A 17,105-nucleotide genomic window follows, 5' to 3' on the forward strand; every position below is an offset into this window, starting at 1 on the left:
ACTCCAGCCTAGGCGACATAGCAAGACTCCGTCTCAAAAAAAAAAAAAAAAAAATTCTGGCAAGGTTTCTGAGCCCACACTCCTCAGGATATTTAGTACCTTGGATAATTTTCTGCTGCTGTTGCCGGATTTCATCAAAACCCAAGCCTCTGGTCTCCTCTGGCTCCTCAAAGAGCCAAGGGTTGGGTGCTCCTCGCTTAGCCTCTTCACTCATCAGGCTGGACCTAAAGAACAATATTAAATGCATGATATATCTCAAAACATGCAGCTCAAATGCAAATTACTCCCACAAGTGCAGAGGTGGCCAGCCTTGAATGCTTTGAAAATTCAATTCAAACACAATTTATTGCATCATTAGTTTATGCCAGGAACTGTATTCAGTGCTGGACGAGATACAAGGATGAATAAGGCACAAGCTTGGTCCTCAGAATTACAGCCTGTTATAGAGATGATGGGAGAACATAATATTTGTACTAATCCTCCAAGAGATGTTTGAGTTAATAATCCTAAAAGAAGTTGGTAATAAATGAGGTTCTTAAATTTCAAAAACAGAAGGCCGAACAGCGGCCTTTTTATTAGGACAAAGTTTGTCTCAGAGGCTACGTGACCCCAAAGGTACAAATATTATTTCTCAAGCAGACACAATGTTGCGACTACAGATTACAATGTTGTTGTTGTTTTAAAAAAAGACCATATAATTTCCCATTAAAGGGTATTTGGAGCCGGGCGCAGTGGCTCATGTGTGTAATCCCAGCCCTCTGGGAGGCTGAGGCGGGCAGATCACCTGAAGTCAGGAGTTCCAGACCAGCCCGTCCAACATGATGAAACCCTGTCTCTAATAAACACAAAAAAAATTAGCCGGGCTTGGCGGCAGACATCTGTAATCCCAGCTACTTGGGAGGCTGAGGCAGGAAAATCGCTTGAACCTGAGAGGCGGAGGTTGCAGTGAGCCAAGATGGCGCCACTGCACTGCAGCCTGGGTAGCGGAGCAAGACTCTGTCTCAAAAAAAAAAAAAAAAAAAGGAGTATTTGGTTGCTCAGAGACAGAAACACATGCAGGGTTTCAATACCAATTTTGTGACTATAATGTAGCATTCATAACAGAATAAACACATTCTGATTTGTCAATCTTAACCTTACTCCCTCTAATAATCCATGTGCCCTTTCTGCACGAGACCAGTTGGTCTCGCTGTCTAAGGAACAGGAAACACATGATTTCCACCTCAGTCCCCATGTTTTCAGGATTTTTCTCCTCTCAAGTAGCTCCTCTCCTCTCCCCACCTGTCTGCATTCTGTCCAAGCTGAGAAGATCATCTTGTCCAGGACACGACCTTCTGACCAATTCAACAAAGAGATGAACATTAGACTCATCTTTAGAGCTCTCAACAGATTCATGAAAAATCATAGAATAAATGATGGGTGGGACATCAGCAAGATGACTGATTAGAGTCAGCTGGTGCTCACCCGCTCCCCCCCCCCCCCACCCACCTTTCTTAGGAAAGGACTAAGGCAATGAATAAACAGCTAAGATTTGACTTCAGTGTGGGAAAGTGCTGAACTGCAGTGGGGAAGTGGAGAGGCCCCTGTGGTGACTGAAAGTCTAGGAGGGCAGCATGAAGGCCCCCAGCCTCTGTGGCCCCATCTCTTCCACCAGGACTGAGGAGGCCTGGACATATGAAGGCCTTCTCCCTGTGAGGAAAAGGTAAGCGGGAGATTCCCACCTGCCCCCACTGCCACTGCAAACACCTACAGTCCTTATTACAGGAGGATCCCCCAGTCCTTGCAAGTTCTGAGCCCAGTTTGGAGAGCTGCTGGGAATTCGTACAGTTGCACTGCCCCAGATTAGGAGCATTCCCCACTCCCCACCCACTCCATGAGCCAAGTTACTACAGCATGGCGCCATCTTTAGACCACAGCTCCCTCTGGAGTGTGCCTTCCTCTTGGGGCCAGTAGCCACTGCACCTTTCCAGCACTGGGACTCCATTTTCATGCCACCAAAGCTACACAGGTGGCTGAACTCCACAACCCAGGGCTCGGGAATGGCTGTGACTCTGGTCCTGCAATGAAGGGAAACCACCCTCTGCACTTTCAGCCACAGAAACAGTCCCACCCAGGGCAAACCCACTCTTGAGCCAACCAAACTGCTGCATACCCTCCTGCAAGCAGAAGGCCCTGAGCAACTGACAGGCTAGCAGAGTGACTACGCTCCTGCATCCCGGATCTATGAAACAGTCGGGCAGTGCAGCCCCCTACAGACATGCCCCCGGCCTGCCCAAAGGCCCCACACCTCAATCAGGGCCTGAGAAACAACCCTGCAGGCTGCCCCTGGCAGACATACCCCCAGGCCAGCCAAGTAGCCATGTGTCCATATCTCAGGCCTGAAAAACAGCCCATGGGTCACCCCTAGCGGCAACTCCCCTAGGCCAGCCGAGCAGCCTTGTGTTCATATCCCGGGTCTGAGAAGCAACTCCTCAGGCCACTCCTGGCAGACATGCCCCCGGGGCCATCAAGCAGACTTATGCCCACCTCTCATGCCTGAGAAATAGCCCTGTAGGCTGTCCCCAGCAGGCATTCCCCACAGGAGAGCTGAGCAGCAGTGTGCCCATGTCCCAAACCTGAGAAACAGCCCAACAGGCCACCTCTGGCAGGCATACTCCCAGACTGGCCAAGCAACCAAGCAACTGTGCCCTCAGCCAGAGTAAGGGCACCAACCCCAACCCCAGCAAGTGAGACCCCAAGTTGGACAACCCACCATGTGAACGCATGCATCGCTGACCTGACAAATAGCCCGGTGAACACATCCCTGGCAAAGTCATGCCACCACCACCACAAAGCCTCTCAGCTGAGGCCACTGAGACACTCACAAATGTCACTGGCATGGATTACAGTTAAAGAAACTACACAAAAACTACACTACTATGCCCACCTGGAACCAAAGCCAATGCATCCCACTGAACCAACACCCCAAGATCCATTCATACAAATATTTCTTTCCCTGCAAAACCTACCACATAAAATTGGAAGAGGCAATTATTCCACCAGATGCATAGACATCAACATAGGGATACATCGAACATGAAAAAGCAAGGAAACATGACACCTCCAAAGGAATACAATAATTCCTGTGTAATAGACCCCAATGATAGAGAAATATACAAAATGACAGAAAAAGAATTCAAAATAGTAATCTTACAGTGAGATACAAGATAATAGAGCTAGACAATTTGATGAAATCAGGAAAACAATTCATGACTTGAACAAGAAATTCAACAAGAAGATAAATACCATAAAAAAGAACAAAACAGGTATCCTGGAGTGGAAGAATTCAATGAATAAGTAAATAAGTACAAGCTAGAGCTTTACCAAAAGACTAGACCAAGCAGAATTTTATTTATTTATTTTTTTGGAGACAGGTTCTTACTCTGTCACCCAGGCTGGAGTGCAGTGGCATTATCTCAGCTCACTGCAACCTCCACCTCCTGGGCTCAAGTGATTCTCCCTCCTCAGTCCTCCTGAGTAGCTGGGACTACAGGGGCATGCCATCACATCCAGCTAATTTTTGTATTTTTTGGTAGAGATGGGGTTTCACCATGTTAGCCAGGTTGGTATCGAACTCCTAATCTCAAGTGATCTGCCCGCCTTGGCCTCCCAAAGTGCCAGGATTACAGGTGTGAGCCACCATGCGTGGCTGAATTTTTGAACTTGAAGACAGATCTTGTGAAATAACACAGAAAGATGGGGGGAAGAAAAAGTAAAATGGAATGAAGAAAGCCTACAGAATTCATGGGACACTATTAAGTGAACAAATATTCACACTGTAGGTGTTCCAGAAAGAGAAAAGAAGGGCAAATGTACAGAAAACATTGAATGAAATAGTAGCTGAAAACTTCCCAAGTCTTGGGAGCTTCCAGATCCAGGAAGCTAAAAGAATCCCAAATAGATTCCATTCAAACAGGACCCCTCTTAGGCACATTAGAGTCAAATTATCAAAAGTCAAAGACAAAGAATTCTAAAAACAGCAAGAGAAGGACTGGATGTGGTGGCTCATGCCTGTTATCCCAGTACTTTGGGAGGCCGAGGCTGGCAGATCACGATGTCAGGAGTTCAAGACCAGCCTGGCCAACATGGTGAAACTCTGTCTCTACTAAAAATACAAAAAAATTAGCTGGGCATGGTGGCAGGTGCCTGTAATCCCAGCTACTCAGGAGGCAGAGGCAGGAGAATCACTTGAACCTGGGAGGCGGAGGTTGCAGTGAGCTGAGACCACGCTACTGCACTCCAGCCTGGGCAACAGAGCAAGACTCCATCTCAAAAACAAACAAACAACAATGACAAAAAGAAACCAGCAAGAGAAAAGCATCAAATCACCTATGAGGGAGTTCCCATTAGACTAATAGCAGATTTCTCAGCAGAAATCTTACCAACCAAGAGAGAATAGGATTTTATGTTCAAAGTACTAAAAGAAAAAAAAAATCTGCCAACCAAGAATATTACATGCAGCAAAGATATCCTCCAGAAATGAAAGAGAAATAAAATCTTTCACAGACAAGCAAAAACGAAGGTAATCCATCACCACTAGACCAGTCTTACAAGAAGTGCTCAAGGGAGTATTACATCTGGAAGTGAAAAGATCATAACAGCCATTATAAAAACATGTGACACTATAAAACTCACTGGTAGAGCCAATATACAAAGGAAAAAGAGAAAGAAATCAAGCCTTATCACTTCAGAACACTACCCAACCACAAAAATAAACAGTAAGAGGAAGTAAGGAACAAAGGATATAGAAAACAGCCAGAAAACAATAAAATGACAAGATAAGTCCTCACCTATTAATAATAACCTTGAATGTAAGTGAATTAAATATCTCATTAAAAGACATAGACTGGATAACTAGATTAAAAAAAAAAAAACAAGACTAGACTCAACTATATGCTGCATAGAAGAAACTCACCTGACCTACAGACACACATAGACTGAAAGCAAAGGTATGGAAAAAGATATTCTACGCAAACAAAAACCAAAAGCAAGCAGGAGTAGCTGTACTTATATCAGACAAAACAGACTTCAAGTCAAAAGTTGTGAAATTAGACAAAGAAGGACATTACATAATAATAAAGGGATCAATTCAACAAGAGAATGTAACAACTGTAAATATATACACATTCAATACCAGAGCACTCAGATATATAAAGCAAACATTATTAGCTCTAAAGGGAGAGATAGACTCAAATAGAGTAATAGCTGGAGATTCTAACATCTCACTCTCAGCATTGGACAGATCATTCAGACAGAAAATCAACAAAGAAACATCATATTTAAACTACACCACAGAACAAACAGACCTAACAGATATTTATGGAACATTTCACCCAACAGCTACAGAATATACATTCTTGTCAACAGCACATAGAACATGGACTGACCATATGTTAGGACACAAAACAAGTCTCAAAAATTTTTTTAGAAATTGAAATCATACCAAGTATCCTATTTAACCACAGTGGAAAATATCAATAACATGAGGAACATGCAAAATGATACAAACACATGGAAATTAAACAACATGCTCTTGAACAGCCAGTGAGTGAAGGACAAAATTAAGAATGGAATTTTAAAATTCCTTGAAGTAAATGAAAATAGAGGCACAACATACCGAAACCTATGGGACACAGCAAAAGTAGTACTATGAGGCAAGTGTATAACAATAAATGCCTACAATAAAAAACTAGAAAGATTTCAAATACCCTAACAATGTATCTCAAGGAAACTAGGAAAACAAGAATAAACCAAACCCAAAATTAGTAAAGGAAAGAAATAATAAAGATCAGAGGAGAAATAAATGAAATTGAAATAAAAAATGTATTTAAAAAATCAACAAAATAAAAGTTGGTTTTGTGTAAAGATAAAATTGAGATACCATTAGCTAGACTAAGAAAAAAAGAGAGATGACTCAAACAAATAAAATCAGGCAAGAAAAAGGAGACATGACAATGGATGCCACAGAAATACAAAGAATCATTACAGGATACTACAAACAACTCTACACCAATAAATTAAAAAACCTAGAGGAAATGGATAAATTCCTGGACACATACAACCTATCAAGATTGAACCAAGAAGAAATTTTTTTAAAACCTGAACAGACCAATAACAAGTAATGAGATTGAATCAATAATATAATCTGCCAACAAAGAAAAGTCCAGGACTGAATGGCTTTCATACTGAATTCTACCAAACCTTTAAAGAAAAATGCATACCAATTCTTCTCAAACTATTCCAAAAAATTGAAGTGAGGGTATTCTACCTAACTCATGCTAAGAGGCCAGAATAACCCTGATATCAAAAGCAGACAAGAATACAACAGAAAAAGAAAAGTTCAGGCCAATATCCCTGATAAATATACACACAAAAATCCTCAATACTAGCAAATGAAATCCAACAATACATCAAAAAGATAATATACCATGATCAAGTGGAATTTATCCAATGAATGCAGGAATGGTTCAACATACACAAATCAATAAATGTGATATATCACATCAACTATAAAGGACAAAACCCACATGATAATCTGAATAGATGCAGAAAAAAATTTGATAAAATTCAACATCTCAATTAAAAACTCTCAATAAACTAGGTATAGAAGGAAAGTACCTCAACACAATAAAGGCCATATATGACAAACCCACAGCTAACATCATACAGAAAAGGTGAAAGCTTTGCCTCTGAGAACTAGAAGACAAGGATGCCCACTCTCATCACTCTTACTCAACACAGTACTGGAAGTCTTAGCCATGGTAATCAGACAAGAGAAAGTAATAAATGGCATTAAAATTGGAAAGGAGAAAGTCAAATTGTTTCTGTTTGCAGAAAACATGATCTTATAGAGAGAAAAGCCTAAAGACTACCAAAAAAAAACCTCTCAGAACTGATAAACAAATTTAGTAAAGTTGCAGAATACAAAATCAACATACAAAAATCAGTAAGTGGTGTTTCTATAAATAATGAACTAGTTGAAAAAGAAATCAAGAAGACAATCTCATTTACAATAGCAATCCCCCCGCCAAAATTACCTAGGAATAAATTTAACCAAGGAGGTGAAAGATCTCTAAAAGAAAAACTACAAAACACTGATGAAAGAAATTGAAGAGGATACAGACAAAGGCAAAGTTATTTCATGCTCATGGATTGGAAGAATTAATATTGTTAAAATGACTATACTACCCAAAGCAATCTACAGATTCAATGCAATCTCTATCAAAATACCAATAACATTCTTCACAGCAATAGAAAAAAATCTTAAAAATCTGCATGGAACCACAAAAGACCCTGAAGAGACAAGCGATCCTAAGCAAAAAGAACAAAGCTGGAGGCATCACACTACCAGACTTCAAAATATACCACAAAGCTGTAGTAATGTACTACAATGCTGTTTTTATGATACTGACATAAAAACAAACACACAGACCAATGGAACAGAATAGAGAACCCAGAAATTAATCCATGTATCTAGAGCCAACTGATCTTTTTTTTTTTTTCCGAGGCAGAGTCTCACTCTATAACCCAGCTGGAGTGCAGTGATGCAATCTTGAGTCACTGCAACCTGTGCCTCCCAGGCTCAAGTGAGCCTCCCACCTCAGTCTCCTGAGTAGTTGGGATTACAGGCACACGCCACCACACTCAGATAATTTTTGTAGAGACGGGGTTTCACCATGTTGCCCAGGCTGGCCTCAAACTCCAATCTGCCCACCTCAGCCTCCCAAAATGCTGGGATCACAGATGTGAACCCAGCCAAGCCTACTCATTTTTAACAGAGGTGCCAAGAATACTCACTGGGGGAAGACAGTCTCTTCAATAAATGGTGTTGGGAAACTGAATATGCACATGCATAAGAATGAACCTGGACACCCATCTATCACCCTAAGGAAAAAATCAACTCAAAATGATTCAAAGACCTAAATGTAAAACCCAAAACCATAAAAGTACCAGGCAAAAACAAGGAAAACACTTCAGGATGTTGATCTGGGAAAAGATTTTATGAGTCAGACCTCACAAGCACAGGCAACAAAAGCAAAAAGAAACGAATGAGATTACAACAAACTAAAAAGCTTCTGCACAGCAAAGGAAACAGTCAATAGAGTGAAAAGACAATCTATAGGAGAAAATATTTGCAAACTGTTTATCCAACAGAGGATTAATATGCAAAATATGTAAGGAACTCAAAATATCTCAATGGCAAAAATCATAATAATAATTGGATGGAAAAATGGGCAAATGAGCTAGGCATGGTGGCATGCACCTATAGTCCCAGCTACTCAGGCTGAGGTGGGAGGATTACTTAAGCCTGGATAACATAGTGAGACTCTATTTCCAAAAAAAAAAAAAAAAAAAAAGATACACAAAATATGTGAAAGACAGACAAATGATCTGACCAGACATTTCTCAAAAAATGACACACAAATGCGCCAACAAATATATACAAATTGCTCAGCATTACTAATCGTCAGGGAACTGCAAATCCAAATCACAATGAGGTATCATCTCATTCCACTTAGAATGGCTATCATCAAAAACACAAAATAAATGCTTGTGAGGATGTTGTGAAACAGGAACTCTTATACACAGATGGTGGAAATGTAAACTAGTACAGCCACTATGGAGAGCAGTATGGGGGTTCCCCAAAAAACTATAACTAGAGCTACCATATGATCCAGCAATCCCCCTACTGGGCACTTATCCAAAGGAAAGAAAATCAGTATTTTGAAGAGATATCCACACCCACATGTTTACTGCAGCACTATTCACAGTAGGCAAAATATGGAATCAACCTATCCAACAACAGATGAATGGATAAAGAAAGTGTGGTATACATACACAACGGAATACAATTTAGCCATAAAAAAGAATAAAATCCTGCCATTCACAGCAACATGGATGGAGCTGGAGGACGTTATTATATTAAGTAAAATAAGCCAGGAACAGAAAGCTAAACACTGCATGTTCTTACTCATACGCAGAAGCTAAAAACAAAAGTTGATCTCATAGAAGTAAAAAGTAGAACAGAGCACACCAGAAACTGGGGAGAGTAGGGAGAAGGGGGAGAGCAAGAGATTTGTTAAGGGACACACAATTATAGTTGGACAGGAGGAATAAGTTTGAGTGTTCTATTCACCACTGTAGGATGACTACAGTTAACAATAAAGTCTCCAGTAGCTAGAAGGACGATATAGAATGTTCCCAACACAAAGAAATGAAAAATGTTTGAGATTATGAATGTGCTAATTATCCTGACTGGCTCATTATATATTACATGTATGAAAACATCACTATGTACCCCATAAATATGTATAATTATTATATGTCAATTAAAACAAAATGATAGGCTGGGTGCGGTGGCTCACACCTGTAATCCCAGCACTTTGGGAGGCCAACGCAGGTGGATCACCTGAGGTCAGGAGTTCCAGACCAGCCCGGCCAACATGGTAAAACCCTGTCTCTACTAAAAACACAAAAATTAGCTAGGCATGGTGGCGGGCGCCTGTAATCCCAGCTACTTGGGAGGCTGAGGCAGGAAGAATTGCTTGAACTCAGGAGGCGGATGTTGCAGTGAGCCAAGATTGCGCCACTGCACTCCAACCTGGGCAACAAAGTGAGGCTCCATCTCAAAAACAAAACAAAAACAAACAAAAAACAAAATGATGACAATGATGTTACAATAGCAATAACAACAGTTAACATGCAGTAAGCATTTGCCCTGTACAGACACGGCTCCAGGTGATTTATATATATTCACTCATATCTCCATTATTTATAATTCTTCTAGCCTTGTTCACATCTCCCATATCATCCAGAAACAATTGCTACCCTATTATTTAACCTTTTATATAGATAAGGTGCATATCCACTAGACAGAAGGCAGAAACTGAAAATCACCCTTCGCTGTACACACGCTGTCCCACAATATGGAGTGAACAGCTAATAGCATATCACCTACTGGCAACATATGAACAGAAAGTAGCTGGAGGATTCAATAATTTTTCATTCCAAAAACATTTACTTCGTAGTTATTATATAGTCGGCATTGCTCTCATTAATGGGCATGAAGAAAAAATAGAATATAGACAAATGGACCAAAATCTCCACCCATACAAAGCATAGATTCTTGTTATCGGTGCTGTTTGCATTCTGGTGGGATGAAACAATGTGTAAAATGTGTGCAAACTGTCTAATGTCGTACTTGGAAGATGTTAACTACTATCATAATACCAATTATTGCATTTTTTTACACAGAAGGCACTAAAAAATTTTAAATAAATCTGTATATCACAAAAGCTATATTAATTTCACTTTTAGTTTAGAACTTTAAAGCCTTTGGAAGACTATTTCATGTAGCAAGAGACAAACCCAGGCAAAACTGGAAGAAAATTTTTGATTCCTTAGACTAAGATTTTAAGCACAGAGTTGGTCTCAAGTATACTAATTAGCATGCCAAACAGAAGTATGACTTTCTTCCACTTTACTAAAACGACAGGTGTGTTTCTTTGAAGTCTTTCTCTCTCTCTCTCTCTCTCATTCATTCATTCATCCATTCATTTATTTGAAACAGGGTCTCACTCTGTCACCCAGGCGGGAGTGCAGTGGTACAATCATCTCTCACCACACCCTTGACCTCCAGAGCTCAAGGGATCCTCCCACCTCAGCCTCCTGAGTAGCTGGGACTACAGGTGCGTGCCTCTGCACCTGGCTAATTATTTTTATTATTTGTAGAGATGGGGTCTCGCTATGTTGCCCAAGTTAGTCTTGAACTCCAGGGCTCAAACAAGCCTCCCACCTTGGCCTCCCAAAATGCTGGGATTACAGGCATGAGCCACTGTGCCCAGCTGGAAGCCTTACTTTATGCCATTGGCACCAAATAGCCAAGATGTCAAGATTTTGGATTTCTTCTCTATAATAATTATTCAATTTCACGTACCTTCGAAGAAGGGGGAAGAATGCAATAGGAAAGGGAAGGAAAGAAGAAAATTCACATTCAAAGCCTATCCCAACTCTCATATCATCTTGCAAGAGCCACTTTTCAAATCAGGAATTACACAGGATTTGTCCATGGTTTACTGCAAATGCAAGTGGGTCAGAGGTATGTAAAGATACTTTGAAAGTGCATTAGTAACCAGCTATGACCATCAAAATGAGTATATTGCCCCTGAGGTGTTATTGCTCCTCTGAACTTAATGTTGGAACCAGTCACTGGTAGCTCCTGTGAGCCCTAGTGCATGCTTTTAAAAAGCTGTTATTCAAGGGGAAAAAATGTAAAAATATTTTTTTCACAATCTCAAAAATGACACATTAGAACCACAGTCATATATATATATATATATATATATATATATATATATATATATATAGACACCTGTTAGAAAATAAACACCTGTTAGAAAATAAAAGTGACAATATGGGCACAATTTAATACTAATATCAAACATACATCACCACAGACATATATAGAAAGGATTTCCCAGGGTTATCTGATTCCCAAGGCTGAACTGTCTAACTCCACTTCTCTCTGGTTTGTTTGGTGTTTCTACTTTCCTGATGCCCCAAACCTATGAGGAAATCCAGCAATTTCACTCACTGACCTTCACTCAGAAAAGCAGGTAAGATCATGAGATCATAGGTATCCCTGGATGTACACCCGATTCTCTTTTCATTTGGTTTTATGTTCAATTTAACATTTGGGGTGGTGCCTATTATTACTGTTCTAGGTACTAGGAAAATACGAAAAATAATATGAAAACATAATTCTTGCTTTCAAGGAGTTTATAATCAAATTGAAATGAGAAACTCACCAACATGAAGCACACTAGTTAAAATAAGAGAGCATCTAGCTTTGTATCCCTCCTGGGCAATTCCAAAAACCTCTTCAGCTCTGGTTTTCTCACCCATAAAACAAGCAAACTAAGTGGGCCAATGGTTTTCAACCTTCTTTCTGGCCCAACACTTGAGGATATGATACCCTTGTTATTAGTGACATTGGGGAGTAAGTGGGGAAGACTCATCTTGGTGGGAGAAAGCAGATATTCTTTTTAATCCTGCAAAAGATGATTTCCTATTGTTGCAAATTGTGAATTAGATTTTTTCAATCTCCTCTCAAATGTTGTCTCCTCAGAGAGGTTTCCCTGACTCCTCCATCTAAAATAACATCTGTCTCTGTCACTCCTTCACCCCACTCCTCCTTATCTTGCTTAATTTTTCTTTATAGCACTGAAGTCACCAGCCATTATGCATTTGTTTGTTTTCTGTCTCCCACGCTAGACTATAAGCTCCACAAGGGCAGGGACTAGGTCTTATCACTCCATCCTTTATCACATTATGGCTGGCATAATGGACACTGAAAGAAAAACATGGAATTAATTATTTTTTCAGCAAAACCCATAAATAAATGAATGAAATCAATAAGGAGAGTTGTCAGGAAATTACAGTATCACACATTGGTGCTATAATATGTTTTGTGATTTCAAAGGCATTTCACAAACATTATCTCATGTGAATCGCACACAGCCCTGTGTGTAAGTCAGCACAGGTATTACTGACAAGAAAACTAAGGCAGAGACATCCAGTGGCTTCCTCAGGGCCACCCACCTAGTGGCAGAGCTAAGGGTTCAGCCCACATCTTGTGATTCTTAACCCAAGGCATTTCCTTTCTACCACTTCAGAGGTTTCATAAAGGTAAGGAGGTTGAGCACAGTAGTTCACACCTGTAATCCCAGCACTTTGGAAGGCCAAGGCAGGAGGACTGTTTGAGCCCAAGAGTTCAAGACCAGCCTGGGCAACAAAGCAAGACCCCTATTGTAAAAAAAAAAAAAAAAAAAAAAAGGCAAAGAGACTTAAGGCAGCCTTGAAGAATGCGTGAGGTTTAGTGAAGAAAGGAAGAGATGGTAAGGCATTCCAAGAAAAGGCAAAAACACGAATGAGTCTCCAGGACCAGGAATGTGTACCACATAAACATGTGTGATGTAAGAGTGGAGAGTGGGCAAAATTTGGGGGGGCTAGATTTAGAATTAATTCCGAGGTAGGTAGCTACAGTGACCCTCCATTTGTTCTAATAACTTATCCTCCTATTATCCCAGGATCTCATAATTTTAACTTTCTACTAGTTCTTCTCCATCCTATAAATCCTCAAGCAATGACTTTCTCTCCTATTTGCAGCCAAACTTCCATGAAGAATAACCTATGCTCACCAACTCCACTTCCTGACCCCCGTTCACTCCTCAACCCACTGCAAGCCAACTTCTACCCCTGCACGACCAAAATCTTCTCACTCACAGCCTCCTCACTGCCAAACACTCTTCCCAGGTCTTACCAGACCCCTCCTCCAGGCCTTACCAGACCCCTCTTCCAGGCCTCATGTGTCACAGCTAAGCTTATTATCCCCCTTTCCATGAATCCTCTCCTCTCTTGGCTTCCTCCACACCACTCTCTCCCACTGACAGCTCCTTCTCTATAATTTGCAGGTACCTCTTCCCCCATCTGCCTCTGAAATGTGGGTTCCTTGGGAATTCGACTTAGATCTGCTCCTCTCACGGTATTGTGTTTCTCTGGGCAAGTCTATCTGTGCTAGGGGCTTCAGGCTGTAGGAACAGATGCTAGCAGCCAGGCGTGGTGGCTCATGCCTGTAATCCCAGCACTTTGGGAGGCCGAGGCGGGTAGATCACGAGGTTAGGAGTTCAAGACCAGCCTGGCCAACATGGTGAAACCCCGTCTCTACTAAAAATACAAAAAATTAGCTGGGCGTAGTGGTGGGCGCCTGCAATCCCAGCTACTCGGGAGGCTGAGGCAGGAGAATCGCCTGAACCCGGAAGGCAGAGGTTACAGTGGAGCCGAGATCGTGCCACTGCACTCCAGCCTGGGCGGCAGAGCGAGACTCCGTCTCAAAAAAAAAAAAAAAAGAATAAATGCTAGCAATGCTTAAAGACATTCATTCTATGCCCAGCACATATGAAATCAGACACATTCCCTTGAGTCATTATGGTGGTGAATTCTGAACTAGGGGTGGGGAGGGACGTGCTCTCCTTCCTAGCAGGACAATACCAGAATCTGGAGGGTTTGGGGGGAGTAGCACACAAATAGTTAAAAAGAAACCCCACATATAAAAACATTCAGGCAAAGCACGTCCTCCCACCCCTTACCTGATTGAAAATCACGGTGCTAAACAGACTTACAAATTTGTCTCTACCCATAATATCTCCCTACAGGTTCTTTATCTGCATTTGTGTCTTTTCATTTAAAAATCTCCAACTGGGTATTCCTCCCCAAACTCAACATATCCAAAATCAAATTCATGACTCTCACCCCATAAGCTGCTTCTTCTCGTACGCTCTCTATTTTGGTGAGCAGCATCACTGTATTCCCAAGTCATCCAAGCCATTTTTTTTTTTTTGGTCTCCCTTCTAACCACATCTCATCAACAAACAAGGCCTCCCTCAGAGATGGTTCTCACATCCAAGCCCTGACTGCCCTCCCCATTGGTACTGCCTTGGCTCAGACACCCATCACCTCTCATGTACAACATGGTTACAGCCTTCTGATCGGTCTCCTTGTCCCCAGTTACCCTCATTCAAATCATCCTACACTCTGCTGCAAGAATTATTGTTCTTAAAACAGAGATCTCACCCTATCACTTCCCTATTCAAAAACTTCCCTGACTCCCCAGAAGCTACAACATGGCTACGATCTCTCTACGACATCATCTCCTCAACATCCCCGCTTCCACACCCTACTTCGGCCCTCCAGACTGCTCCCCACCGCTCAGACAAAGGCAAAACTTTCACACTCTCATGTTTTTGCATGAGTCTGGAGTGTCCCCACCCCCACCCCCTTTGTCCATCTGGCAAAATTCTATTCATTCCCCTAAGGTTCAACTCAAATGTCAATTCTGCTGCTTAGGCTTTCCTGATCCCTAGCCCCATCCCCCTTCCCTTGAATCAATCACTCGCTGGTATTCCCATGGTGCTATGTTCACAACCTCTAACGTGGCATTTATCAAGCGGGATTGTAGTTAGTTATTTACTCATCTGTCTCCCTTCCTAAATTATGAGCTCTGTGAGGGAAGAGGCCACATGACAGTTATGTTTATATCCCCAGGACCAAAACACAGAGCCTCGGAATATGCCAGAGCATAAGCATTCAGTAAATGTTTATGAACCAGAACTAGGAAAACCATTGAGGTTTTTAAGCTCTCTTTCTTAAAAACAAAATGAGAGAAGCATTTAACATTTTTATCTTGAAATGTTTTTTAAAAATCAAGCAAAGCAAAACTTAATCAACTGCTACCTGCCTTCAAGACTTCAGCAGCAAAGACTGATACTGTTTGAGCAGATGGAGAGAATTACTTGAAAGGGAATTTGGTCAGTAAAACACCTTGTAGCTCAGCCTCACTTTTGGAAATGACAAGTAAGAGGCATTTTTCCTCTGCAAAGGAAATTAAAGAAAGGAAATGCTAAATACTATGCTTCTGAGCTTAGAACAGACTTGAATTTTTTTAATAAATGATTTCTATCCATATTATTTCAAGATGAAACTTTTCAAATAAATGAAACTTATCAAATAAATGCCACATCAGTAAATACGTTAGATATCTTGTCTTATCAAGATTTAACCAAAAAGTTTCACAATCACTTCTAAAGACATAAAATGATTTCATTTTCATCCCCCAAAGAAAATGATGTACATTATTTAAATTATGATAATATCGGGGGGGTGCACAGACAATCCATGTCTTTCTACAGACAAATGAAGTTGAAGCTTGTTAGAGTTCATAGGAAGGGCGTTCTTATCAACTGAATACAGAATTGAAATAGCAGTGAATTCCAAGAAGTAGCTTTCTTTAGCCTTTCTTAGCGTTTCAAAAAGATGTCAAAGTGACTATATAAAATGTTTGTTTTGTCTGGAAAAAATATCAGTGTTTGGGCATTCACAGACCACAGGGAGGTTTGCAGTTAGGATGAGGGAAGATATTTCTGGGGTGTGAGTGAGCTGAGTCTGCAAAGCTTCGTAACTAGACTTGCCTATAGATTTGAAAACACTCCTATGATATAAAAGGGTAATTCCTTTTTCAGAACTTTTTTTGGTAGTTCCTTTCTGTGAATATAAAGATGCACAGAGGCTCAAATTTCAATTAGAAATAGATTCTTTGACAGAAATTCTTTAGAGACGAAGTCTGGCAACAATACGCAGACTGGATTACACGGAAGAGAGGCTGCAGTCAGAGAGGCAGGCCAAAAGGCCAGTGTGGTAATTTAGGTGGGAGGTAACAGGAGTCTGGACAAGGGAAGTGACAAGAGGGAACAGAGAGAAAGGGACAATTAACATAGTGGCTCAAGGGAAATTCCACAAGTGTTGATGAATAGACTGGATATAGGGAATAAAGATTGCCAAACCTATGTGACTTGAAGAAATTGACACGACTTCAGGAAAAGGAAATTTTTTCATTACCTTTCAATTTTCAACACAGCACTTAATAACAATCCCAGAGTTAAACTGGTCCTTCAAGAGATCATGATTATGTAGGAATATCTGTAGCCATATTTACTAAACTGTTAACATCTTTCAGTCCAATACTCTGTCCTACTCTTTTCTGTATCCCATCCACCCTTCCATCCATCCATCCATCTGACAAACACTGAATATCTTCTATGTATCAGGCACTAATCTAGTGACTTGTAAGTGAACAAGAGAGACATAAATACCTGACCTCATGGAGCTAATACTCAAGGGACAATAAATGCCTAACATTGTGCCGACTGCAAAGTTGATACTCAAAATATTTTTTGTTCAAATTGAATAATCTCCATTGAGTATTAGTCCAGAACAAATAAGAATCAGAACAAGGAAAATATCTTCCTTACATAATATCCAAGGAAATTTCACTATAGCACCTTTAAAATCTATTACAATCAAATATTGTTCTAATTTAAAAGCAATCCTATTTTTTCCTATTCATTGCTTGCCAAATTTACCAATAAAAAGTTTTAACACTAAATGAAAACCTTGATGAAACAGTTCACAGAAGAATAGAAATACAGGGTAGAAAAGGCCATCATTTTTTT

The 17,105-nt window shown here is 40.6% G+C and overlaps 1 protein-coding gene across 4 annotated transcripts in view, besides 2 other annotated features; it reads right to left on the reverse strand.

The window, feature by feature from the left end:
- The window catches only part of STX8 (syntaxin 8), a 325,350-nt gene that overhangs the window by 254,468 nt on the left and 53,777 nt on the right, over positions 1–17,105 (reverse strand). For all 4 annotated transcript variants that reach the window (NR_033656.2, XR_934120.3, NM_004853.3 and 1 more), the window contains one exon: positions 100–224. Coding sequence is in view for 2 of the 4 variants with exons in the window: in NM_004853.3 (NP_004844.1) it covers positions 100–224 (125 nt within the window). In the remaining 2 variants the exon portion in view is untranslated. The remainder of the gene's footprint in view (positions 1–99; positions 225–17,105) is intronic.
- Positions 1,433–2,301: an enhancer, noted in NCBI's record as "H3K27ac-H3K4me1 hESC enhancer chr17:9409688-9410556 (GRCh37/hg19 assembly coordinates)". NCBI's record gives its function as "activates a minimal SCP1, AML or CMV promoter by ChIP-STARR-seq in naive and primed H9 embryonic stem cells {active_cell/tissue: H9 hESC(naive and primed)}" and the evidence as "EXISTENCE:reporter gene assay evidence [ECO:0000049][PMID:30033119]".
- Positions 2,302–3,169: an enhancer, noted in NCBI's record as "H3K27ac-H3K4me1 hESC enhancer chr17:9410557-9411424 (GRCh37/hg19 assembly coordinates)". NCBI's record gives its function as "activates a minimal SCP1, AML or CMV promoter by ChIP-STARR-seq in naive and primed H9 embryonic stem cells {active_cell/tissue: H9 hESC(naive and primed)}" and the evidence as "EXISTENCE:reporter gene assay evidence [ECO:0000049][PMID:30033119]".

The sequence above is a fragment of the Homo sapiens genome, chromosome 17 (assembly GCF_000001405.40).
Source record: "Homo sapiens chromosome 17, GRCh38.p14 Primary Assembly".
Lineage (NCBI taxonomy): Eukaryota > Metazoa > Chordata > Mammalia > Primates > Hominidae > Homo > Homo sapiens.